At 42.3% G+C, this 26,181-nt stretch overlaps 1 protein-coding gene across 1 annotated transcript in view, besides 5 other annotated features; it reads right to left on the bottom strand.

The window, feature by feature from the left end:
- The window catches only part of TEAD1 (TEA domain transcription factor 1), a 270,317-nt gene that overhangs the window by 152,633 nt on the left and 91,503 nt on the right, over positions 1 to 26,181 (bottom strand). The window lies entirely within an intron of this gene.
- Positions 2,140 to 2,778: an enhancer, noted in NCBI's record as "H3K27ac-H3K4me1 hESC enhancer chr11:12810874-12811512 (GRCh37/hg19 assembly coordinates)". NCBI's record gives its function as "activates a minimal SCP1, AML or CMV promoter by ChIP-STARR-seq in naive H9 embryonic stem cells {active_cell/tissue: H9 hESC(naive)}" and the evidence as "EXISTENCE:reporter gene assay evidence [ECO:0000049][PMID:30033119]".
- Positions 3,412 to 3,919: an enhancer, noted in NCBI's record as "H3K27ac-H3K4me1 hESC enhancer chr11:12809733-12810240 (GRCh37/hg19 assembly coordinates)". NCBI's record gives its function as "activates a minimal SCP1, AML or CMV promoter by ChIP-STARR-seq in naive H9 embryonic stem cells {active_cell/tissue: H9 hESC(naive)}" and the evidence as "EXISTENCE:reporter gene assay evidence [ECO:0000049][PMID:30033119]".
- Positions 3,920 to 4,427: an enhancer, noted in NCBI's record as "H3K27ac-H3K4me1 hESC enhancer chr11:12809225-12809732 (GRCh37/hg19 assembly coordinates)". NCBI's record gives its function as "activates a minimal SCP1, AML or CMV promoter by ChIP-STARR-seq in naive H9 embryonic stem cells {active_cell/tissue: H9 hESC(naive)}" and the evidence as "EXISTENCE:reporter gene assay evidence [ECO:0000049][PMID:30033119]".
- Positions 20,009 to 20,303: a silencer, noted in NCBI's record as "tiled region #13244; K562 Repressive DNase matched - State 10:DNaseD". NCBI's record gives its function as "represses a minimal TATA promoter and a strong SV40 promoter by Sharpr-MPRA in K562 cells {active_cell/tissue: K562}" and the evidence as "EXISTENCE:reporter gene assay evidence [ECO:0000049][PMID:27701403]".
- Positions 24,566 to 25,065: an enhancer, noted in NCBI's record as "H3K27ac hESC enhancer chr11:12788587-12789086 (GRCh37/hg19 assembly coordinates)". NCBI's record gives its function as "activates a minimal SCP1, AML or CMV promoter by ChIP-STARR-seq in naive H9 embryonic stem cells {active_cell/tissue: H9 hESC(naive)}" and the evidence as "EXISTENCE:reporter gene assay evidence [ECO:0000049][PMID:30033119]".

The raw sequence follows: 26,181 nt of genomic DNA, 5'->3' as shown, positions 1-26,181 counted from the left end.
TCAAGGAGTGTCCCAAGCACATGCCCAATGTCCATCACCCTGCAGCCTGACCTCCCATCCCAGAAGCACTTCTAAGTGCCCACCTATCCTTAGTTCCAGGGAAGATTAGTGTTCATGTGTAGTTCATTTGTTCCTTTGTTATTGTTACTCCTGGATCTTTCAGGTTTCTGTAATCATATACTATGGTGCATTTAGATGTTTTGGTTTAACTTGTTTTGCATATAATAAACATTTCACCTATGTTCTACAAATAAATAGGGCTGCTTCCTTGGGCTTTTTATGGCCTTCCTATGGCCACCTAGCTTTATTCTGCCTATTAATTAAGGATGCATTTTCCCACTACTCCCTTATCACTTACTTATAGGAACAGCTTATAACTCAAATGCAAGAAAATATTAGAGAACTGACTTAAATTGGCCCCAAATCTCAATCAAAAAGTTCTCTCCATGATACCCATGCTCTCTGATGCCTAACTTTGTAGACAACTCTAAGATGTTCCATCCCCACACGCACCCACCTGCAACCCATCACTAGTTACAGCCAGGAAAAAAAGCCTACTGATCAGGTATCTTAGTCACAAAACCGTCTATAAGAAGGACCTGCCCACCCCAGAAACTGACAAGGCCCTTATCAGTGCATTCTAGAGATATCCCAGTTCTGCCAGAATCTTCCCTCAGATCAGGAATTAATCTTCAAAAGCCTGAAATGTTGAGAGTAACTCACATCATAACAAGGGGTCCTTCCCTGCTGACTACAAGGAATGCAGGAGAGCAAAGCCTGGGAAACACCAGATACTTTTACTTGATAAAGGTTTCTACAGAAGCCCTGCAAAAGACTCCTGAATTTCCTTAAACATAGACCAAACTTAGGCTGTTATCTGGAAGTTATAAATGAGAGAGGCCAAAAGCTTGGCATTTCCTATGCATGAACCCCATATAAGAAGACAAACACAAGAGTAGCTATCCCTGGAAATCTCCTCTATAGGGTGTCCTAACATCCAATCCATAACGGAGATGAGGGCATTCAGATGCACATATAAAAATAATGCTAATGTGAATATGTGCATACAAGTCTTTGCGTGGACATATGTTTTCATTTCTCTTGGGTAAATACCTAGAAATAGAATTGCTCTACGTTTAACATTTTGAGGAACTGCCAGGCTGCTTTCCAAAGAGGCTGCACCATTTTACATTACCATCAGCAATGCATAAGTCTTCCCATTTTTCACCCCCCTCACCAACACTTGTTATTGTCTTTCTGACCATAGTCACCTGAGGGTATGAAGTGGTAACTCACTGGGGTTTTAATTTGCATTTCCCTAATGGCTAATGTTAAGTATCTTTTCATGTGCTTCTTGACTATTTATACACCTTCTTTATACAGAAGATGCTTAAACAGAGATGTCTATTTAGATCAACTGGCAAAGGTAGTAAAAGTTTGAATCAGTAAATAAAGATACACAAATGAACTTTTTAAGTCCCCATTCATCTGAGATTCTTTAATACTGGGGATATGGGAGATGAACCTGGGGAAATACAAGGGTTCCTTCACTTTATTCCCATTTGTCAAAGTTTAATAGAATTATATTCATTGTCTCTGCCCAGTACAAATTAGGGATAAGGGTCCTATCATTCCCATTTTACAAATTTAAGCTATCATTTACTGAGTACCTACTGTGTCCAAGGGATATGGAGATAAAGATGACATGTTAATCACCCTTGAAAAGTTCACCACCTATTAACAGAGAAAATGAACCCCAAGAGGTAAAATGACTTGCCCAGGCCCACTTAAGCAGAGTGGCAAAGCCCACATCTCCTTGATGTCCATGTCCAAGTATCACAGTCCCATCAGGCTGGGAGAAAACAAAACCTTAGGCTCTGGCCCTGCTGCAGACAGGTCCTCTGAAGGACAGGTAGCAGGCACTGTAGGTAGCACGGCCCCACTCTCCACCCAGGCTCAGCAACATCCAATACAGAGTTTGGGGCTGGTGCCTCAGTCTGTATGGCTGGCCTTTCCCCCAGCCAGCAGTCCAGGAACAGCCCTACAGAGGTAATGAGCTGAAACCTGTAGCATACATGCTGCCACTGCTTAAGCAGAAAGCTGTCACCAACGAGTGATAGATTTAAATAGCAGAGCAAGGACTCAAGCAGCCCTGGCCTGACAGAAGCTGCAAAGCAGCTGGAAGCAGCAGCCCCCCACCAAGGTGGGTCTGTTACGCTGAGCCCCCTGGGCAGGTCCTGGGCTGTAGGGCAGTGTCTGTGTACCAGCTGAGACTCAGGCAGGCCCAACTCGGAGCAATGCCTCCACAGGCCCAGCTGAGCCCAGCCGAGCCCAGCCGTACAACCCAACTGAGCTCGGGCTTCCACATGCTGCATGCTTCTCTCCATACATATCCATGCTGGAGACATGCAGCCCAGGAGACTCTCGGCTTGCATCTGTTGATGCTAATTATCAACCTGGCTGAAAAGCCATCTGGAGGGAGATGTCGGGTGTAAAGGCACACTCACCAGGACTCTGGGTTCCCACCGCCTACCTTCTCTGAGCCAAACTCTTTCTTGTCTGCTCCCTCTCTCAAGGTATTCAAAAGATGCTGGCTTGCACACTCAAAACTTGAACTTGGATGGCCTTGGAAATCATTAGCTAACATAAACTGTATGGTCTCACTCAAGTCACTGTACTTTCTTAAAAAGTATTTCATTTTTGCTTTTCAAATACATTTTATGAATATAGCAAAAATAATAAAAATAAATAATAAAAGCAATGCCAATAAGAATGACACTGGTCACTATGTGCTGAGAGCTTATGTGTCAGGTACTGTCTCAGGAACCAATTCAAGTTACCTCATCTAACTGGCACAACCAGTCCTCGGGGTAGGTTTCATTGTCCCCATTTTACAGAGGAGACTTACTAAAATCAAAGTCATACAGCTAGAGGTAGTAATGTTACATCTAACCCTCAAGTGCATGTACTTTTACAATGTTAATTCCAAACTGAGATGACAAAAATCTCAATTTATTATGTGTGTAAGAGTCTCAATTACATTAAGACAGTTTTGGGCCAGGTGCAGTGGCTCAGGTCTATAATCCCAGCACTTTGGGAGGCCAAGGCAGGAAGATCACTTGAGGCCAGGGGCTTGAGACCAGCGTGGGCAACACAGCCAGGCCCCATCTCTAAACCCCATCTCTTAAAACAAAACAAACCCAAACCCCCAGTTAAATTGGTTTTTAATCCCTGCTTAAGAAAACAGCTAAAATCTCTAGTCTAAAAATAACTTTAAACTGAAATGCCTGCCTTTTAAATTATACACATATAGATGCATTTTAGCACACATTGCATTTTACTCAGTATTTTTTACAGGGATCACCCCTGTAATTCCATATTCTCAGTGCCCAAGGGCGTGATGTTGTACAAGACAGTCCCTTTAAAAAGTCTGCTTTGTTCTTAAATATGGACCACGTCTTACATGCTTCACAACTCTGGTGAAGTAGTACATTTTCATATTTGGAATGTGTACATTATACTTTTTTAAAGGTTTCATTTTTGCTTCTTTTCAAATGAATTTTGTGGATATACCAAAAATTTACAAATCTGTTAATAATATTACCAAAGCTAATTTACCAGTATACTAAGTCAAAAGGCTTGTCAAAGATATTTAGTAAAAGGTGGAAGATTTGGCCAGGCACGGTGGCTCATGCCTGTAATCCTAGCACTTTGGGAGGCCGAGGCGGGCGGATCACCTGAGGTCAGGAGTTCAAGACCAGCCTGGCCAACATGGTGAAACCCCGTCACTACTAAAAATACAAAATTAGGCTGGGCACGGTAGCTCTGTAGTCCCAGCTACTAGAGAGGGTGAGACAGGGGAATTGCTTGAACCCAGGAGGCGGAGGTTGCAGTGAGCCAAGGTCGCGCCACTGCACTCCAGCCTGAGTAACAGAACGAGACTCCGTCCAAAAAAAAAAAAAAAAGACAAAATTAGCTGGGCATGGTGGCGAGTGCCTGTGGTGGTCCCAGCTACTCAGGAAGCTGAAGCAGGAAAATCACCCGAACTCTGGAGGCGGAGGTTGCAGTGAGCTGAGACTGAGTCATTGCACTCCAGCCTGAGCGACAAGAGCAAAACTCCATCTCAAAAAAAAAAAAAAAAAGTGAAAGATTTATACAGTCTGAAGAGAAACCAGAGTATCATTTCAAAGATATCTAGAAAATATTTGCCACTCATTAGAATTATAGCTCTCATCATCAAAACTGGCTGACATTTAAAATAATTTTATTTACTTACAAGCCAAGATTTTATAGCCTCAGTATTTTTCTCCAAAAAACATAATTTTATGAAATTAAGTACATAAATTTATGAAATTAAATGCATATTTAGTTTTTATAATCTTAAACTATAAATGTGAAATATGTTGGCTTTAAGTTTTTAAATCAGACTGCTTTGGTAAAGTAAAGCCGAGAAAGTTCTATATTATATAGCCAGCTCACTCTTCTCTACTTTTAAAGATCAGAAAACAAAGAAATGCTTTCAAGCTCTTTAGCTCTCATGAACAATTTAAATTTAATCTGTGCAACGAAAAACAACTTCCTTCAACACCAATCAAAAAATGATGTATTTTTACCGAATTATCTTCTCAGAAGGCTCTAAAGCTCCAGGTATGTGACACCCACCACACCACTACTCTTTCTCCAAAGCTTAATAGGAACCATTAGGGAACTGTCCCTTAAACCAGGCGCATCATACAATGGTTAGCAAAAAAGAGGTAGATAACTGCAACATATCCTTCCCTTTTTTGAGTAGGAATGTATCCCTTAAATGAGGAAGAAAAAGGCAAAAAGAAATCAAAGATCCTGCAAGGTGATGCTGTGTCCAGGTGGCATGCCCTTTTATTCCAAATGGCATGCAGGTCTCAAATCCCATGGCCCACCCCTGAGGATACGGTGAGAGACCTGGGCCCAGGCTTGCTTTCAGTCTTTCACTACCCAGCAGCCGGTGATCCTTTCAAAACCTAATCAGATCACACTCCCGCTCAGAGTGAAAGCCCATATCCTTACAGAGGGCTATGAGGCTTTGCAAGATCTGAGCTCTGACCTCCATGCTGGATCCTCTTCCCTGCTGACTCCACTCAAGCCACGGAGGCCCACCAGTCCTCAAACACATGAGGCATGCCCGAGCTTTGATGTCTGTGGTGCTCTCTGCCTAGAAGACTCTTCTGCAAATGTCTGTCTGGCTTATCCCCTCAATCCCTCATCTTCTTCAGGTTTGAATCCTCCCTATCTTCCTTCCCTGCTTTATTTTCCTCTTTATCACTTCCACCACCTAACATACTTACATATCTTCCTTATTGTCTATCGCCCCCACTAGAATGTAAGCTCCATGAGTTCACCAACTCTTGTCTGTTGTTGCTCACTGCAATATCCCCAGTGCCTAGAGTGGCATCTGACATATCCTTGGCACTCAATAAGCATCTACTGAATGAAAGAGGCACTGTGAAACCATGCCCCAGAGGTAAGCAAAATCAGGCCAGTCCTTACTAAGTAGAGTTGCTATATAAAATATAACCACGGCATGGGATATACTCATACTAAAAAATAACTTTTTGTTTATCTGCAATTCCAATTTAACTGGGCCTCCCGTACTTCTATTTGCCAGGTCCGGCAATCCTACTCCTAACTCCAGTGAGAGAATGGGCAAATCCAGACCACTCTGGTCAGCTGGGAGAGGCAGAGGTCCAAGGACACAGCCAGAAGACCCAGTGAAGAACCATTTCCTCTCCTCTGGCCTTTGTCATTGAGGATCCATGGTGGTCTGGGTTCTGCCAGCTTTAGATAGAAAAACAAGCCAGTGCAGTCCGAGAAAGCTACCAGGCAGAGCATTCATCTCCACCTGCTCTACTCTCAAATAAAGAACACCTTCTCTGCCTAAATCCCCATTTGGCTTGGTCTCAGCAAAGCCCAGCTGCTCATGTCCCCTCCCACCCTGTGCTGTGACTGTGGACACCTGGGAGACAAGTAACTATGCCCTGCTCCGTCACACACCTGTCAGGAGCCCAGGGCCTTGGCTCCCCTCCACCTCCAAGGCAGAAGATTGCATGGCTGAGTTGCTGAGCTCTATCTGGGGCTACAGGTTTGCAGAGTAGGATGCTGCTCTCGTGATTTGTATGTTACCAGCATGCCATCTTACGCTACGTGCAAGAGACAAATGTATGTTGGAAAAAAAAACTAAGTTAGTAAATTATGACATACCCACCCTAGCTACTGAAAATCAAAGTTCCTGGATCTAGGTTCTGAATAGTCATGGATTGTCAGAGATATGCTCACGATGTTATTCCCAGGTTTTCCATCTCCTGGACCCTCCAACATGGGAGATCCCTGAGGTTTCTAACCTCTAGATACCAAGATCCACAGACCAAACCTCCAAAGACCAAGATCTGTAAGTTCCCGGAACCTAAAGTCATGTGGGCCATAGGACCAGGACGGTAGGGGATGAGGGAATATCACCTGGCATAGGAATAAGAATTGAGCCAAAAGTGAAGGCACAGGAAGGAAGATTATATATCCTGGTTTGCCTAAGGTTTATTTCTGTTTTCCTGGTGTCATTGTTAACATTGCCCCCATTTATTCTCTGAAGTGTCGTAGTCTGAACATTAAATGATATGGTCATTATAGGCACCAGCCAAACTGGGAACAACCTCTGTGCCCTGGAACCCAGGACCTGTGGGACAGGAGGAAAGAGCCATGCAGGAGCAGCTGCAACCAAGCTGGGCCAACTCGCCCTCAGAACTGGAACCGGGAAAAGGGCATCTCTGGGCAGCAGCTTCCAATCTGAAAACTGAGGAGGCTGGGCTGATCTCTCCAGATCCCTCCAGCTCTGTGTCTAAGAGAGCAGCTGGGAAGTTACTTGTCCTACTCTCCTACCCCCACTTACCCAGAGCACATGCAGGCCCACACGTTCCCCACGGCTCCCAGGCACAGGCCACCAGGAGCCCGGGCCCTGGCTCAGAAACATCCTCACATTAGGGTGTCAAATGACTGAAGAGTCAGTCTTTGATCTGACACAGAGAGAGGGCAGGGCTTGCTGCATCTGGCAGGTCATGCCTACCATCTCTGGGTTTTCTCCAGTCTTCTCCACACTCATGCTGACCCCAAGAGAGCAAGCTGGAGCAGATTTCAAAAGGGAGCTGATTCTCCAGGATCCCCTCACCCTGCACTTCTCAAGCGATAGGAGCTACAGTTAACATGGGTGGCTAAAGCCTTGCAACTGAAACTCCAAACGGAGCTCAGCAACACTCCCAGGGAGGCTGGGAAGAAGGAGATCACACATGGAGCGTAGGCCAGCTTTGACTTAAGGAAAGGGAAGGAGGAACTAGGATCCTGGGCTGACCCATTAACTCACCCTAGGGGGCCACAGAAAGGAACATGCCAAGACATCAGCACCCCTGGAACTTGCAAGAAAATCATCTGCTTCCATCAACACACCACCAGGAGACAAATACTTCAGCACACTTAGTAAACATACGTGAATTCAGACTCCCCTGCTCCTGCATCTGTAAGGTTTCATATGACATGGAAGATGCTTACTCAAGACAATGACTCTTAATGCTTCCAATGGATTCTATCCTAGCCTTTCTTCCTTTCTGTCCTTTCCCTCTGTCTCCTAGACAAGCTTATCCACTTCCAGGGTCTCAACTCCAAACCCTGTGATGATGTTTTCCAAACTGTTCTCAAATCCAGAATGCTGAATTGCCCAGTGCCTGCTGGCGCCCTCCCCATGAAGTGCCCCAAAGCACTGCAAACTCCATACAACTCAAAACTCATTACCCCAACTCTGGCCCTTACAACTTGTCTCCCCTGCTGTACAACTGTGTCTATAAATGGCACTGCCATCCATGCAGATGAAAAATCTTCATCTTCTCCCTCATCAGAAAACCCTACAGAGCCCTCTCATCTCTAATACACCTAATCTAAATGCCTAATCTCTAATATACTGATGTAAAATGTCCTTCCCATCCATCCCCTCCTTGTCACTCCCATAACCTCTGACCTAGTTCAAGCCCTCCTCATCTCCTACCAGAAGTGTTGTAGTGTCAGCCTCCTTATGGGAGATAGAGCCTCCAGAATAATTCTCCTCAAACACTTGTTGAATATCCTAAAAACAAGGGCTCCCATCCCCCCTTCCTGTGTATATGCTGCATACACAGAAAAGTTGAGAACCTCTAATCTTACTGTTCGAACATCCTTGCCTGGCACTTCACTCCCGTAACCTCTCAGCTTACAAGCCACCCCACACTCCATCCACCCTTCTAGACATCCCACATGCTTACCAGCCTCCTTACTACTCCTGAAAACACTGTATTTTCACATCTCTCTGCCTTCAGCTTTCTCTCTCTTCCACTTTGTCCATCCCTGAGGGAAAATTCAGCCTAGTGGTTAAGACTGTGAGCTGTCTTAGCAATCAGACATGGAAGGTTTCTTGGAATCACAGCTCCACCACGCAGTAGCCATTCGACCTTGAGTGTCAGTGTGTGACCTAAACATCTGAGAAGCAACTCACCAGGTTTCCCCCAAAACTGAAATGGGAAATTCCCTCCACAGGTATATCCTTGAAAAAAACACTGTGAGAGGTGTTCACAAATAAATGCATCTTAGCAGAGAACCTTCCTCCCTATTGGCACGTGTCTTCCAAGTTCTAAAGGAGGAACCACTGTTAAGTAGCACAGGGCATCCACAGCGCCAACTGCAAAGCTTTTACCAGAACTAACTTCCAGAGCATGAGGGCTAGGCTCTAGCCATCTCCTGTAGGGAGGCTCAAACATTCAGGCCCAAAGACACCCTGCAAAAATCAAAGCTGGTCAGCCATGGGCTGACTGTGGGAAGATAAGTTCCCCCAGACACTGCCTTAAAAAAAAAAAAAAAAAAAAGGCACAAAAACTAAAACTCTGGCCTTTGTCATACAGTGATTTAAAAAGAAAGTGCGCGCACACACACACACACACACACACACACACACACACAAACCCTTACCTGGTTTAGTGACTTCTAGACACAAAAACTCTGGCTTTTATCACACTGACGGTGATTACTCTTTTGTGAAGAAGATACTGTTTAGTGACATCTGGATCCCCAGACCCAAGTTCAACCACATTTTAAGGGTAACTACATTCAGGTTTACTAGACACTTTTAGGGTATCAGGCTCTTGCACCACATAACTTCATTCACCTTCTCCAAAAGCAGCACTCAGCTCCTACCATACGGCTGCCACAGATTCAGTCACCTTCTCCCTCACCTGGTATCTGAGTTAACTTGTATGTTCATCTACTCTCTCAGCATTTTCCTTTCTTTCCATCTTTGCTACTATAAACGTGCTCTGCACATGAAGTCAGAGAGTTACTATTACATTGGTAGCTAACATTTACCAATTTATCAAGGCCAAGCATGATGCTGAGCATATACACTGATACTACCTTTATTGTGATATAATTCATATTTCATACAGCTCACCCATTTTAAGTGTACAATTCAAGTTTTTACTACATTCACAGAGTTGTGTAAGCATTACCGTAACTAGTTTTAGAACATCTTAATCACCCCAGAAAGAACTCCATACCCATTTGCAGTTACTCCCTATTTTCTCTCAAATCCTCCAGTCTCAGGTAACCACTAATCTGCTTCCTGCTTCTGTAGACTGACCTATTCCGGGCATTTCGTATGATTCATATGATTCCATGTATAAATGGAATCGTACAATATGTGGTCTTTCATGAATCTTCTTTTCATTTAGCACAGTTTTCAAGTGTCATCCATATTGTGGTACATATTAAGACTTCATTCCTTTTTATTGCCAAATAATATTCCATTGTATAGCTATTACCACATTTTATTTACGCAGTCATCAGCTGATAAACATTTGGGTTGTTTCCACTTTCTGATTATTAGAAATAATGCTGCTATAAATATCCATGTACAAGTTTGTTTTGTTTTTTGAGACAGGCTGGAGTGCCGTGGGGAGATCTCTGCTCACTGCAACCTCCACCTCCCAGGCTCAGGTGATCCTCCCACCTCAGCCAGCTGAGTAGCAGGGGCTACAGGTGTGCACTACCACGCTTGGCTAATTTTTTTTTTCTTTTTCTTTTTTTCTTTCTTTTTTTTTTTTTTTTTTTTGTACAGACGAGGTTTCACCATGTTGCCCAGGCTGGATTCTAACTCCTAGACTCACACGATCTGCCCACCTAGGCCTCTCAAAGTGCTGGGAGCCAACACACCTACCCCTAATGTACAAGTGTTTGTATGGACATCTGTTTTCATTTCTTTTGGGTCCTATAATAACTCTATGGTGAGTCTTTTAAAGAACTTCCAGACTGTTTCCAGAGTGGTTATGCCATCTTTATAAACCCACCAGTGACCTGTGAGGGTTCCCATTTCTCTACATCCTCCCTAACACTTGTTATTGTCTGTTTTTTTTTTTTTAATGATAGCCATCCTAAGAGATATAAAGTGATATCGCAGTGTAGTTTTAATTTGCATTTCCCTGCTAGCTAATGGTTTTGAGCATCTTTGGTGTGTTTTTCAACGTATGTCTTTTTTAAGGAAAGGTCCAGTCAGATCCTCTGTCCATTCTTTAACTGGATAGTTATCTTTTTATTAATGGCAAAAGTCCTTTATATATTCTAGATACAAGTTGCTTACTAGATTTATGATTTGAAAATATCTTCTCCTGTTCTCTGGATTGCCTTTTCATTTTCTTGATGATATCCTTTGAAGCAGGAAAGTTTTTTAATTTTCATGAATTTTCTCTATTTTTACTTTACCACTTATACTTTTGTTGTCACATCTAAGGCTTTGCCTAATCCAAAGTCAGAAAGACTCATTCCTGTATTTCCTTCTGGAGTTTCATAATCATAGCTTTTACATCTATGATCATTTTCTAGTTAATTATGATATATGATATGTGAGGAAGGGATCCGACTTCACTCTTCGCATGTCTCAGCATCATTTGTTGAAAAGTCTATTATTTCCTATTGAATTGTCTTGGTATATCTGTTGAAAATCAATTGACAATAAATATAAGGGTTTATTTCTGGACTTGTGATTCTACTCCATTGATGATATGTCTAATTTATCCCAGTACCACACTGTCTTGATTCAGACTGTAGCTCTGTAGTAAGTTTTGAAATCACAAAGTGTGAGTCCTCCAACTTTGTTCTTCTTTTTCAAGATTGTTTTGGCTATTCTGGGTCTTGAATTTCCATATAAATTTTAGAATCAACTTGTCAAAGAAGTCATGGGATCCTGGGATTCTGATAAGGATTTCACTGAATCTGTAGATCAATTTGTAGGTACTGCTGTCTTAGCAATGTTAAGTCTTCCAACCCATGAACACAGAATGTCTTCCAATTTATTCGGTTATTTAATTTATTTAAACAATATTTTGTAGTTTTGGAGGTAAATGTTTTTTGCTCTTTTGTCACATTTATTCCTGTGTATGTTGTTCTTTTTCACACTATGATGAATAAAATTGCTTTATTTCATTTTCAGGTTGTTTGCTGTTAAGTACAGAAATACAATCGAGTGGCAGGCACAGTGGCTCACACCTGTAATCCTGGCACTTTGGGAGACCGAGGCAGGCGCATCACCTGAGGTCAGGAGTTCGAGACCAGCCTGGCCAATGTGGTGAAACCATGTCTCTACTAAAAATACAAAACTTAGCTGGGTATGGTGGCAGGCACCTGTAATCCCAGTTACTCGGGAGGCTGAGCCAGGAGAATCGCTTGAACCTGGGAGGCGGAGGTTGTAGTGAGCCAAGATCGCACCACTGCAGTCCAGCCTAGGTGACAAGAGCGAAACTCCATCTCAAAAAAAAAAAAAAAAAATTTACAATTGAGTTTTATATTTTTATGTATTTATCTTGTATCCAGAAACCTTGCTACAATTGTTTATGAACTTTAATAGTGTTGTTTTACTTTTTTAGCTACATACAAGATCAAATAGAGACAGTATAGTTTGACTTCTCCCTTCCCAATCTGAGTAATTTTTATTTCATTTCCTTGTACAATTGCTCTTACTCCAGTATAATATTGAAGGGAAGGAGTAAAAGCAGACATCCTTGTCTCGCTCCTGATCTTAGAAGGAAAGCATTCAGTCTTTTACTATTACATACATTTGCTTAGATTTTTCACAGATGCCCTTTAGCAGGTGAGAGGCTCTCTTCTAATCCTAGTTTGCTGATTATTTACATCATGAAGGATTTTGTGAAATCCTTTTTCTGTATCTGTTGAGATAAAAATGTGGTTTTTTCTTCACTCTATTGATATGGTGTGTTACGTTAATTGATTTTCAGATGTTAAACTGACCTTGCATTCCTGGGATAAATCCCACTTGGTCACTGTATATTAACCTTTTTATATGTTGCTGAATGGGTTCATATTTTGTGGAGGAGTTTTATATCTATATTCATAAGGGATATTAGTTATTTTCTCATGATATCTTTGTCTGATTTAGCTGTCAGGGTAATAGTGCTCTCAAAGAATGAACTGGGTATTCTAAGTATTTTAATGTATTATCTAATTTAATCTTCACACTGAAGTTGTGAGATGGGGTGCCAATATTGGTCCCATTGACCAGATGAGGATATGGAGGTTTAGCAATATTAGTCATGGTTACACAGCCAGTGAAGTGGCAAAGCCAGGATTTAAACCCCAACAACCCTTATTCCCAACCCTGTGCCCTTTACCACCACCAATGAAGAACTTACTCCCATAGGCTAATAAGCCCCTTATAAATCAGCCAATGAGCTAACCAGATTTTGTATCCTGGAAACTCACCCTAACTCAACACCCTTCTGAACTCTACAGTGAGAGTTTACTTAGTTCATTGCTCCCGGTAACTGTATCATTCAAGATCAACAATGTCATCTTAGAATAATCAGTGGTGGAAGTGATTTTCAGACAACTAAAACTAAACCCACAGTCGATCTGAAAAAAGTAACATTTACACACACACACACCCCTACCACTTAGAAACATCTCAAATAAGCTTACAAACATATTATGTCCAGTATACACCAGGGAAAAGAAATGGTCAAAGACTAACTTTTCTAGGATTATGCTTTACTACTGTGAACAAATTACTCTAGTTCACAACATCTCAGGTGTAAGATCAATATGGTTATGATGGAAAAGTGTAAACAGGGGAGTGGGGTCTTGCAAATGACTTAATTCTCCTAAGTTTTGTTTCACCAGGTGGTTTCTCAAGATAAAACAATCTAACAGAAAACATCCTGGTCTCTGTGCTTCAGTTTCTTATTTATGAAATCAAAATTCTTGCCCTTGTTGTTTCATTAAAATGTTGTAAATGTCATAAAAATGCCAAGAATGTAGGAAAGAAAACTCTTGAGAGGCACAAGATGGAATTTTATTACCAACAACTTTCACTAATTCAAACATTTTTTGGGGGCCTAATGTGTGCCAGGGACCATACTGGAGGCTGAGCAGCACTGGCCCTTGAAGAGTTCTCAGTGGGTACAGACCCACAGAAACAGAGCCTGACAGTGCTTACTACAGTTTAAAAAAAAAAAAAAAAAAAAAGAGTCTGATGAGGCCTTTAATGGACAGTTAAAAGTCATGTGCTTTGGAAACATAAGAGAGGGAAAAATTAGCTCTGCCTGTGGAGATTAAGGAAGGCTTCAGAGAGGATGGAGTGTTTTTTAACGACCAGTAGGAGTTTACAAAGCAAAAAACAGGATGAACGGTATCCCAGACACCAGGAAAGCCCATTCTTTCTTTTCTATTGTTTACCTGGAACCAAAACTCTCTTCCACCCTAGCCAGGCAGCAGTAAGAACATCCAGGACTGGAGCCAGGATAGGAACCCCAGAGCCTGAGCTCTTAACCACTACTTTCATGATTAAATATAATCAACGATTACAATCAAATGAGAATCTGACCCAGGGCAACTTACTAAACCTCTCTAGGCCATGGTTTCCTCATCTGTAATGTAAGATAATAGTAGCTATTCATAAGACTTGTTAGAAGGTTTAAATGGGTTAATGCTAAGTGTTCAGAACAGTACCTGGCACATTGCAAGCATAAATATTCATTATTGCAAAAATTCATTGCAAGAACAAATATTCATTATTATTATTTTGACTGTCACATCACCTGCCCTGGTCAGTCCAGGCCTTACTAAGATTCATACATTTCAAAAGGTCCCTATCACAATGCGTATGTTCAACCCACTTGACAATTCCCTTCACCTAACAACTGTTTGTGGTTGCTGTCTAAGGACATATGGGGACTGAGAGAATGCTTCCTAATACACATGGTTTACAATCCAAGTAACCTAAATAGCATCTTTCATAATCAGGATCATATCACCATTGCATTTTGTGTGTTGCTGTGAGACAGAAAATACAAGGGCACATCTTAGTACAGAGATTGCAGTAACAGTTGAATAAACATGCAATCCGATACCTCACATCTGGCATGTCATCATCCCCAATATTTTACTGACAATCAAATATGTTTAAGGCTGTGGCTACTTTATAGGTACAAATGTCCTTATCAGGACATTATCATGCACCAAACCTCTCTCAATAAAAGCTGTCATAAACAACAATCTCTTCTAAGCGGTCATGGAAGCTACTGTGTTTGTAATAGAACCATTCATCTAAGAGACAGTTGCCAAAGCCCGTCTCAACAAAATATCGGGCAAGTCACAGAGCACAGAGGCAGACCCAGGGAAGAGGGTAGGCATACAGTGAGCAATTGGGACCTTTGTAAATGGCCAAAAAAACTCAGCTTATTAACATATGTTAAATATTACCCCAGAAGCTGTAAAACTTTGGGGTGACAAATATTTCCCCCAAAGGCGGGGGGACTACAATGCAATAAAGAAAAAATTTTTTAAACAAATTAAACATCCTGGGCAGCAGGTTTCGCTATCACACCTTTAAGACTGTGTTCTAAAAGGCTAAGAGGGAGAGGAGAGTACATTGACACAAGAACAAACTTTAAAAAAAAATAAGGCTGGGTGCGGTGGTTCACGCCTGTAATCCTAGCACTTTGGGAGTCCAAGGCAGGAGGATCACCTGAGGTCGGGAGTTAGAGACCAGCCTGGCCAACACAGTGAAACCCCATCTCTACTAAAATACAAAATTAGCCGAGCATGGTGGTGCATGCCTGTAATCCCAGCCACTGCGGAGGCTGAGGCAGGAGAATCACTTGAACCCGGGAGGTGGAGGTTGCAGTGAGATGGTGCCATTGCACTCCAGCCTGGGCAACAAAAGCAAAACTCCATCTCAAAAATAATAATAATGATAATAATAATAATAATAATAATAATAATAATAATAATAATAAATATCCAAATGGGCTTTGAAGAACAAATTTGATTTTATTATTTAGCTAGAACTGAAACATGAGGAAAGGGAAGGTAGGCAGACAGAATTATCTGCAGGGTATGCATAGCAGGTCACTATCAAGCCGATCAAACACATTCGGATTGCAAGTTTATTTTATTATAATTAAAAATTATAATTAAATGAGAATCTGTAGCACACTGTAAAGTACCCAGTGTTTTTGTTCTCTAAAATCTACCCACCTCTGTCCAAAGGCAGCACAAATACAAGATTACTTGCCAGGAATCTATTACAAAGGATAACATGGCCATCAAAAACATTACTGGCAGAGAGAAGCCCCCAACCCTCTAGGAATAAACCACGTCTACTCTCATGTACAAGCTGAACGAAAAATACTCAGCAGAGATGTGGATCCCGTTCATTCTATTTGCGGTGTGAGCCTATGCACATTCAAGGAATGGATGTGGACGTCTTCCTTTCTCTCTCCCATCACCATCTTACCATAATACATGAATGTTGGAATTATGCGTCTCTGAGCTGGGCCAGCTGACTGACACACTCAAGTGGCCAGGGCACCTGTTGAAGTCCCGGACCAATGTCCTAAAACCTATAATAAGAATGCCCTGTTCTCCTCCCCCGCCCTAGCACTGCCACTCTCTGACCACCTGTCCCCTGAGCTTGATACCTCAGCCACCCACAAGTGGAAGGGAGAGATGCTCTCCAAACACCCCTGCACCCCTCCCTGCCCACTGTGACCCTGCCGTAACTTCCCCGGGTGAACCCCCCGCCGCCAGTAAACACCACACCACAGTGGACCCAGGCAATATGGTTTGCTTTCTAACTCTTGCTATTTTCCACATTTTTCTTTAATGAATATCCTTTACTCAGAACCAGAGGAAAAAATAAACTTGACACAATTATCTTTTTTCTTCTGATTCCAAAAGTAACATATGTTTGCGATTGAAAAAATCCCATTAATACAGAAACATAATAGAAACCGAGTCTCCTATAATCCCATCTCCCTGTGGCAACCACTATTAGTAGACTGTAAATTCCTCCAGATTTTTTTCTAGGATCCTCCCAACGAACACACTTCTATATTTAGATTTATCAAGTTGAACAGTCTCTAAAATAGCACCTTTAGTGAGAGACCAACAGAACACTACCATCAATAATGATCATTTATTTTAAAAAGACCACTTTAAACACATACTATCACTGGAACGGGATAAAATACATAACAACAATAATAAATCAGAGACACGCTTTCACGTAAAATGGAAGGCCACAGCAGCAGATGAGTGAGGAACTGAAGCTCTAGAGGTGGGGGTCCGGTGGGGATGAGAACAGAGAAACATCGTTGAATCCAGGCCTGTGCTGCTAAGAACACAAATGTCCACCCACTCTCTACTTCCCTCTGATGCTGCGGAGGGCCACTGTGAGGGAGGCCTGATGAACCTCTGCCCAGCAACAGTCCCTTCCATCATTTGTGGCTCTGATCTCTAAAAGTCTGCCCTGGAGCTCCCCGTCCCCCTGTTCTTTGACAGAAACCCTAAGAAAGGAGGGCTCAGCTCAATTTCTCCCTTAACCACACAGCCCTCTAACTGAACTAGGGATGCTTAACTCTGTTTGATGGTTCCATAGTGTTCTTTCCTACTTTTCCAACAAGTCCTGAACAGGCTTAACTTCTAAAAGCATTACTTTTTTAAAATATGATATAACTTCCTTTTTTTTGACTTTTAAGTTCAGGGGTACATGTGCAGGTTTGTTATATGGGTAAAGTCGTGTGATGGGAGTTTGTTGTACAGATTATTTTGTTGCCCAGGTATTAAGCCTGGTACCCATTCGTTATTTTTCCCAATCCTCTCCCTCCTCCTACCCTCCATCAGGCCCCGTGTCTATTGCTCTCATCTATGTGTCGGTGTCCATGTGTTCTCCTTATTTAGCTCTCTCTTACAAGTGAGAACATGCGATATTTGGTTTTCTGTTTAAATTAATTAAACCATTAATTTTAAGAATTCAAAGAACTTCTTCATACATAATTACATTTTCTCTCAACATTGCTGAGAGGTAGAAAGAAACATGCTGACTTACCAGCCCCATTCTACTGGTGATGGCAACAAGGCTCAAAGAGCTTGTATGGCTGGCCCATGTAACTATAACTATACATCACAAACAGGTATAGTTTTGGACCAACTGAAGAATTTGGGAAGAGGAAGGTAGAAATGTTGGCATTTTCTTCTGACCTTGATATACCTCCTGTCCCACTGTTCTGCTCTCTGCTTTTAGACACCACTTACACTCTATCAACATCTTTCCATGCATATCCATGGGGCCATGTACTCCTCAAAGAAATCCCTCAGCACCTGGTTTACTTCGGTACCTTCTTTAAAAATGCACACTTTACCACTGTGAAGTTCAGCATCTAAGTGATTAATCAAGTCACTGTGGATGAGCTTCACAGTGCCTTGCTTCCTCATCTCCCATGTCCATCGCCCACATTCACATCAGTTGACCGTATTTGTGGCCACACCTCGAAACTCATCCCCTGAAATCTTTCCATCTCTAATCTCAGTGCTGCCTCTCCCATGCATGACCAGAGCCTCCTGTCCTGCCTCCTCTCCTACATGCACCAGAGCCTCTGAACAGCATGCCTCATGGCCTACCAGCCCCTCCAGCTTCACCCTGTCACTTTCCCAACTTAGACTCCTACGACCAAGCCATAACAACTGTCAAAATATGAATAAACCCAATAACCTTCTTGTAAAGAAAATCACAGAATCATGACAATGGGTTCCCTCACAAGTAATATGCATCACAGACCTACATTTAAAACATACAACTATAAACTCTTAGAACAAGACACAGGAGAAAATTTTCAGGACCTAGGGCTAGGCAATGAGTTCTCAGACTCAACACCAAAAGCATGACTCACAAAAGGAAAAACTAATAAATAAGACCTCATCAAAATTAAAACTTTCGCTGTTAAAAGTTTTGCTCTGCTAAAAGTTCTTTTGCTTTGCCCATGAGAAAAGATGAAAAGATAAGCTACAGATAAGGAGAAAATCTTTGCAAACCACATATCCAAAAAAGGGAGTTGTATCTAGAAAAAAGAATTCCAAAAACACAACAGTAACAACATAAACCCTCCAATTAGAAAACGAACAAAAGACATGAACAGACATTTCACTGAAGAGGATATACAGATGGCAAATAAGCACATGAAAAGATGTTCAACATCGTTAGTCTTTAAGGAAATGCAAATTAAAACCACATGAGGTATCAATTACACACCTATCACAATGAAAATAAACAATGGTGATGACACCAAATGCTGGTGAGGATGCAGAGAAACTAGATTGCAGGTGAGAATGTAAAGTGGTACAACTACTCTGGAAAACACTTGGGCAGTTTAAAAGAAAAAAATACTGAATGTACAAATACCATATGAGCCAGCAAATGACACTCGTGGGCATTTATCCCATGTAAGTGAATACTTAGTTTCATACAAAGACCTATACGTGTATGTTCACAGTGGATTTGAAATGCCTGAACACTGGAATCAGCCCAGATGCCCTTGAACAGCAGAATGGTTAAACAAACTGTGGTACATACACACCACAGAATACTACTCAATGATAAAAAGGAACAAACTTGATACACACAACCTGGATGAATCTCCCGGGAATTAAGCTGAGTTGAAAAAAAGCCAATCCCAAAAGGTTCATGTAGTCTGATTCCATTTATATAACATGTTTGAAATGACAAAATTTTATAAACAGAGGACAGATCGGTGGTTGCCAGCAGTTAGGGAGAAGGGCAACCCGGGTCCTGTGGTGTTGGAGCTGTTCTGTATTCTGATTGTGGCGGTGGAGACATGAACCTGCACAAGACTAACACACAACAAGTAGTGTACACAACTTAGTACGCACACACAAACGAGTTCAAGTAAAACTGGGAAAATCTGAGTCGTATCACTGGGTTGTGTGGATGCCAATATCCCGCTTGTTGCAATATTACACTCCAGTTTTGCAAAATGTAACCATATTGGGGGGAAATGGGCAACATGCATAAAGGATCCCTTTGGGTATTATTTCTTACCATTGCATGTGAATCTACAGTATCTCAACAAAAATTTCAAATAAAAAAGAAAGTAATACTCTCTGCTAATACTCACTGCTGAGTAGTTCTTTTAATCATCCCTGTCTGTCAATGATAACATCTATACTGTACATCTGTACTAAGCTTGCTCTACTTTTCAAAAGCCCACAATAACCTTCATTTGAGAGAAGCAATGAGGCCCCCTCTCGGCCCTCCCCCCATCCTCCTCCATTCTGCATCAGAGGAAAAGAGGCTCCTTTCCCTTTAAAGTCTCTTCTGGGTTTTGCTCCATCAAATACATCCTCAACTCATAAATTCTTTTCCCCAACTAACCAAATGGCCAAGTGTCTCCCCTGTCCTAGAAAAAGTCTTCTCTTAATTTGTTCTGCCCTTCAGGATACCGTGTCTCCTTCCATGCATGGTCAAACTCTCTGAAGACCTGGTCATGGTAATGTTCCCTCTAGGTAGAAAGTGAACATAAACTGAAGAATGAAACTAGCGTCATTCATTTCCTGCACCAAAACCTCATAAAGACTGCTTCAAATGTTAGCCTCATTCTCTGCTCACTTGTTTATCACTCTAAAAATGTGGTCCTGTCTTCTTGGACCCAGACTGCAGCTAGCCCAGCAGCTCTCAAACCTGGCTGATCACCCAAATGACTCAGGGAGCATTTAGAAATACAGTTTCCCAGGCCATACTCCCAGATATTCTTAGTCAGTAGTTGTTTTGTCTTTTAAGCTCTTTGAGTGTTTCTGTTGATAGTGAGCCTTGGGAACCACTAATCTGTCTTCCCTTTTCTGAAAAAGGCAATCACTTTACTCTCCCAGTGCTACAGACATTCCATTTAATATCCATGCCAGTTTTGCCCTTGATAAATTGTGAGCCTGGGCATCACAGGCCATTATCAGATCACTTCTCTGATGATGAGGCTCCAAACTACCCCTGCAACTTCAATCTGACTGAGCTCTAGGCAGGAATTTCCAACTCCTTACAGGTCATCTCCATCTGGATGGTCATCCAGTACATCAAGCATATGACAAAACTTAACTCCTCATTCCTCTCTTCTCTACAAACCTGCTTCTCCTGCCTCCACTCCCCATCTCGCTTAACAGTACCACCATCCTCCCAATGAGCCAGAAGTGGAACCTGAAATCAAACTCCTTCTTTTTCACAAATCTCATCCCATCAGCCAATTCTGTTGGTTTTATCTCTGAAACTCCCTCCTCCTACCAGCACCGCCTGCATCCTAGTGCAGGCCTCAGGCTCTCCTACCGGACTACTGTAACAGCCATCTAACTTGTCTTCACGCCTTCAGATCTAGTTTTGTCAAACACAGGCTGAGACATGTCATCTCTCCTGAAAAAAATGTAATGGCTTCCGTCTGCCCCCAGGATGAGTGCCAGGCACCTTGGCATGGCACTCGGACCCGCAACGACACAATGCTGGCTCCTGTACCCCTCCCCCAGGAGATATTTTCATTTCTAAGCACATCAGGGCTGTGCCCTTCCAGGCCTCCATGCCTTTATCACATGTTCCTTCAGCCAGAATGCCCTTCCCTTCTCCTTTTCCCCAATGGGGCAAGTCTGAACCTGTGCTCCAGAACTTGCCTGAAGTTACATGCAACAGTCCTAAAACTACATACAAATATGTGATTTTTCTGGGGGAAAGGGTCCATAGCTTTCCACAGATTCTCCAAGGGGTGGAAATCCAAAATAATCTATAATCCAAAATAAGTTTAAAAACCGCTACATGATCTTTTTCCCAAAGTTCAAAGTTAGCTAAGTCTGTCTGTCTCATGCTCTCTTTCATTCTCAAACATATACAAGTCAATTCCCCAATCATAAATGATCACACTTTGTGCTGCTCCACTACTAAACCAGGTATATCTCTAGTACAGAATATACTTCCTTCCATATCAATATTGGAGTCATTTGTATTGACTGGCTTGGTTGTAAATGTCAGCTCCACAGCTTATTTACTATGTGACCTCAAGCAAATAACTTGACCTTGCTGGACCTCACTTTCCTCAGCAGCAAAATGGGCATAATTACAGTACCTATATTATTGGGTTGTTTTTGAGGAATAATCAAGATCGCACATCCTATAGCAATGGGAAAGTGCCTGGTATGTTAACTGCTCACACAGGTCAGCTTTTTAAGTTATTTTATGTCTGTTGTCCCCATCACATTCAAAGCACAGTGCAGGCCCTCAATAAATGATTTATGAATCCACATCTTCCTGAATCCCAGGGCTCATCCACTGCCACAGAAAAGCTGTTGGAAAGCATAACTTGGTAATACTTTCATGTTCTTTTCCTTCTACCTCCCTTATGACCAATTCTTGAGCCATCTTTAATTAGCTACTTTGTACCCGGATTGCACATGAGCTCACACCTTGTGCATACACTTTTGCATACCCCCCACACATTAAGCTTCCCAATCAAAATGCTGATGACGCTGGCCCTGCTATTCTCACAGGAACCAAACTATTTCAAAAATTCCCCATTACTCATCTGTTCTGAGCATTCCAGAATTAACCCTTGCTCTGCTATTGTCCATATTTTGTGCAGAAATCTTTTCTATCTCTTCAACTAACATTTGCCAACATAAAAAATAGGGCTTCTTCTTTCTCAATCTAAGATCATTAAATAAACATCTTCCTCTTTTTTTCCTTCTTTTTTTCTAGCCACTTCCTCCCACAGGAGAGGCCCTCAGGGCTTACAGGCTTAATCACCTACGTTCTCTGTTTGAACCATAATTCATCTCCCATAAGCATTTATTCAGCAAACATTACTGACACCTTCTATATTCCAGGCCTTGAAATACATCCTGTGATCGGTGGGGTCCCGGCTTTGGGAGCTTCTAGCCTGTTCTACCACATAGCTGTTTGTTTCACGCTTCTAACCAATTAACTTGAAATAACACCCTGAATCAGAGGTCCGAAAGAGGAAATCAAAGATGCCACATGATGTTCATATGGAGCTCCGAGAAGAACACTTTGCCAAGGCCTGGAGACCCTCCAGGGCTGGGAGTCTATGGCCATTTCCACACCAGGGCTCTGGGGCCTCCACTGACAAAGCCTACCTCCCTGATCCTCAAAGAGCTGTTATGAGAACATACTATCTTATAAAAGGATGATTCTGCAATTTTTTGACCAGTCCTCTGCATCCAGAGGAGTGTAGCGACCACAGGTTTCAGTCTCTTTGCTGTACTGACTAATCAATACATACTCCCACTTACTTGTGTGCACTCTCATTCTGATACCCCCTTGTCAGTTCTGCCACTACCTCATTTAAAAAGCCCTCTTTCCTCTTCTGACTTCTGCTCCTATGAAGTAAAGAAAGATGCAATCCTAAGTCCTATGCTGTCCTGGTGGGCAGGGCACAGGTCAGCAGCGGGGGAGGACTGACTAGAGACACCCTCCCCCTCATCTTCGCTGGTCCTCACAATTCAGGTCTCTGGGGCTGACCAGTAGTCCTGGTATCCCAGTAAGAAAGGGTCCTTCCTTGGAGCTGACCTAAGCAAGGATCCTGAAGACATCTGCTTGCAAAAGGAGAAAGTCAATAGTGGCCAGGAAGATGTCTGGAAGCAACAGCTCTGCCCAGACTGCTTATAGGATCCTAGGGCACTAGAATCTTCCAGACATCCTCCTGGCCACTACCGAGGCCAGGCTTGTGATCTGGGATCCTCTCCGCTATGTTATTTGAGATGATTTCTTCCTGCCAGCAACAGGCCAGGTGCCCTCGACCTTGGTAGCCAAGAATAGGCTTCAAAAGGCTAAGTGGAAGGTGACCATCTTCAAAGGGCTCTCAAACTTCTCAGAAAGCTTTGGCACACAGTCCTGACCTCAGGTCAGTTTCCTGCAAATGAACTTGAGATAGCTCCATGAGGGCAGGGACCATGTCTGTCTGGTTCACTACAGTATCCCTGACAACCCCTAGCACAGGGCTGGAATACAGCTGCGCTGGGGCTCAATACTGATTCACTGGATTTATGTATAACGGTCTCTACCAAGGAAGGAACAAAAGCTCAGTAGAAAAGTCCAAGATGTAGAGTCAGACAGCCCTGAATTTGAAACCTGCTAGCTATACCATTTATATTGGCCATGTGCAAGCCATTTTACCCCTCTCAGACTCAGCTTCCTGTCTATACAGTGAGGATGATAATACCAGCTTCAAAGCATTGTTAAGAGCATTAGACAGAATTGTATGTGGAGCCTTTAGCATAGTGCTTGGCAGAGAGCACTTCTTTGTTTTCAGTTCATAAGCACTTACATACCTCTCACTATATGCTAGATACAGTTCAAACATTGCAGGGGGTGGTGGTGTTCCAGATAACAATTAGTTCATTTAATTCTTCTAATAATCCTACACAGTAAGATCTATCTAATCCTCCTTTTCAGTTGAGGAAATTGAGACAGAGAAGTAAGGTAACTCGATAAAAATCTGATATCTAGAAGTGCAGGGCCAGGATTCATATTATTTATAGAGTCCAGACTGTTAAGTGTTATATACTTCTCTGCCTCTACAGCAAGCAACCAGTGAAGGTTAGTTCCTGTCCCTGCCCTATTTGATTATGGGGTCTATCTGACTGGGATTTTCAGTTGCAAAAGTAACAAATTCAGGTGTTCCCGTGGTTTGCTATCTATTTTGTTTTGTTTTAAACTACAGCCTGCTCCTCTGAAATCCAATTCTGGATAAGTTTGTTGATCAAGAACTTCCCTCTCATCTTGTCCTCCTGCTATCTATCTCCTCTCCCATGATCTACCAGGAAAAGAGTCACACGTAGCTGTGTAAAAACAAAAAATGAAAAAGACAAGCACAGAGAAAGAGAGAGCCCCAGGGACTGAGCACACATGCCCTTAGGAACCAGGTCAAAGGACATCTCGTACCCCTTCTAGTAATCCATAAAAACGACTGCCTACACATAAGGGTGCCCACAGCAGAAGCCACCTATCCACACACAGCCCAAACACATAAAGTCTCAGCTCCCCAAAGACCAAGTTAGCAGAAAGCGAATGAAGCCACCTCCTCCGGTGGCCAAAAACCTCATCATAGAGTTGTCCTTTTTTCTCCTTTATAAGACTGCATTTGCCCTACTGCCAACCACGAACAAAATTTCATTACCAAAATAAATCACTTGACCTTGTTTCTCCAATGGCTCAGGATTAGTGACATCACAAAGCACTCTACAAATGCTCTGAAATATTGGAATAACCATAACCCTTTCAAGTAAAAAACACTCGGTATTTCACTAAAAGACTAAACCGTTTTTATTTTACTGCATGGAATTCAAAAATGCTTTAAATGTTTTCATTTTCAGAACCCTTAGAAAAAAAGTATGCTCTTTAAGGCCTTAAGAAACCCTGACTCCTGGTCTGGTTTGTGTCCCAATTCATGTATGGTAAGATGGGGAACAGGCCAAAAGCCCAGGACAGTAGCTCTGGCCCCACACTGCTCATATGATTCAGTTCTCGAGTGGCTGGGGCCTCAACAGGGAGACTCCCAAGTCAACTGTCTCTCATCCTCCAAGTCACAGGCAGGTCAGAGGCAGCTCCCAGTCAACCAGGGCAGTTCCTCTTAAGGGGTCCAGTCTCCACCACCAATAGTCCCATTAACCACCATGGTTCCCTTCCAAGGTAGCAGTAGAAGCAAAGCTCCTCATGTCGACCAGAGACAGGGAGTTCAGGGGGGATGTTTCCTCCCCAAGGCAGCTGCCTGGAGGTGGGGGTGGCTGCAGGACAGTGCATCCAACGCATCTTCTGAGCCCCAATTAGGATACACACTCTCCCAGGCTGTATACTCCACTTGCTGAAAAACCCACAACCAGTAAGATTGTTCTTCCAAATGAGTTAAAATTCCTAATGCTGCTTGCTCAAAAGGACTGTCCCATTTTAAATCAGGTTAGCCACCAACACGGTCACTAAATGTGCTGCTGAGTTAAGGAGAAAAGAATCCATACATCAAAACCATGCACACTCAGGAAGCACTCAGAATTTAAGTTACACTGGGTACCCAAGACAGGCTAGGCTCCCAAGCAGCACCACATTTGTCAAAACTGACCCTCTTGCTCAGTGACAAGAAACAAAACCATAGCATCACAAAATGGAAGAGTCCAAAGGACCCATGGACATCATCAACTACTTTACTATCTTATTTTACACAGAAGAAAACTGAGACCAAGACCAAGGGTAAAATCTTCAAGTTCATTGTTGATACAGCTACTCACATCCAAAGCTTCTCTTTGTTCTTCTTAGCCTGCTGCCTCTGAGACCCAATTACCAACAAGAGCTCTTATACAATTATTTTCACATAAAAATATTTATATAATTGAATTATAGGCAAATTGGTTAAATCCACCAGGGCTGCTGTCTATAAACTAAAATCTCAATGGAGAACAATACAAAATTGGAGTTGACAAAAGTTAACTTGTGCTTTGAATTATGTTCTCAGCCCCAAAACCTTATTCCTGAAAGGACAGGACCTTTCCCAGTATTTCCTGTGGGAAATGAAGTGCAGTGGTTATGCCCCATTGGGATTTCTAATACTATGCCTTTGTTTTAAATTGAAACCATTTTTGGGTAAGCAAATGAGAGTTGTACAAGGTAGTGTCCCAAGGCTACCCTTCACTACCCATAATAAAATCATCTTCAAAGAAGCTTCAAAGATTAAAATGCTTTTCTCTGCCTTTAAGAAAGGGAGCTGCATTTTCAGGTATGAAAATAAGACCCACAAA

This window comes from Homo sapiens, chromosome 11 (assembly GCF_000001405.40).
Source record: "Homo sapiens chromosome 11, GRCh38.p14 Primary Assembly".
Lineage (NCBI taxonomy): Eukaryota > Metazoa > Chordata > Mammalia > Primates > Hominidae > Homo > Homo sapiens.
Note: the sequence above shows the minus strand (reverse complement) of the source record. Positions and strands in the feature narration are given on the sequence as shown.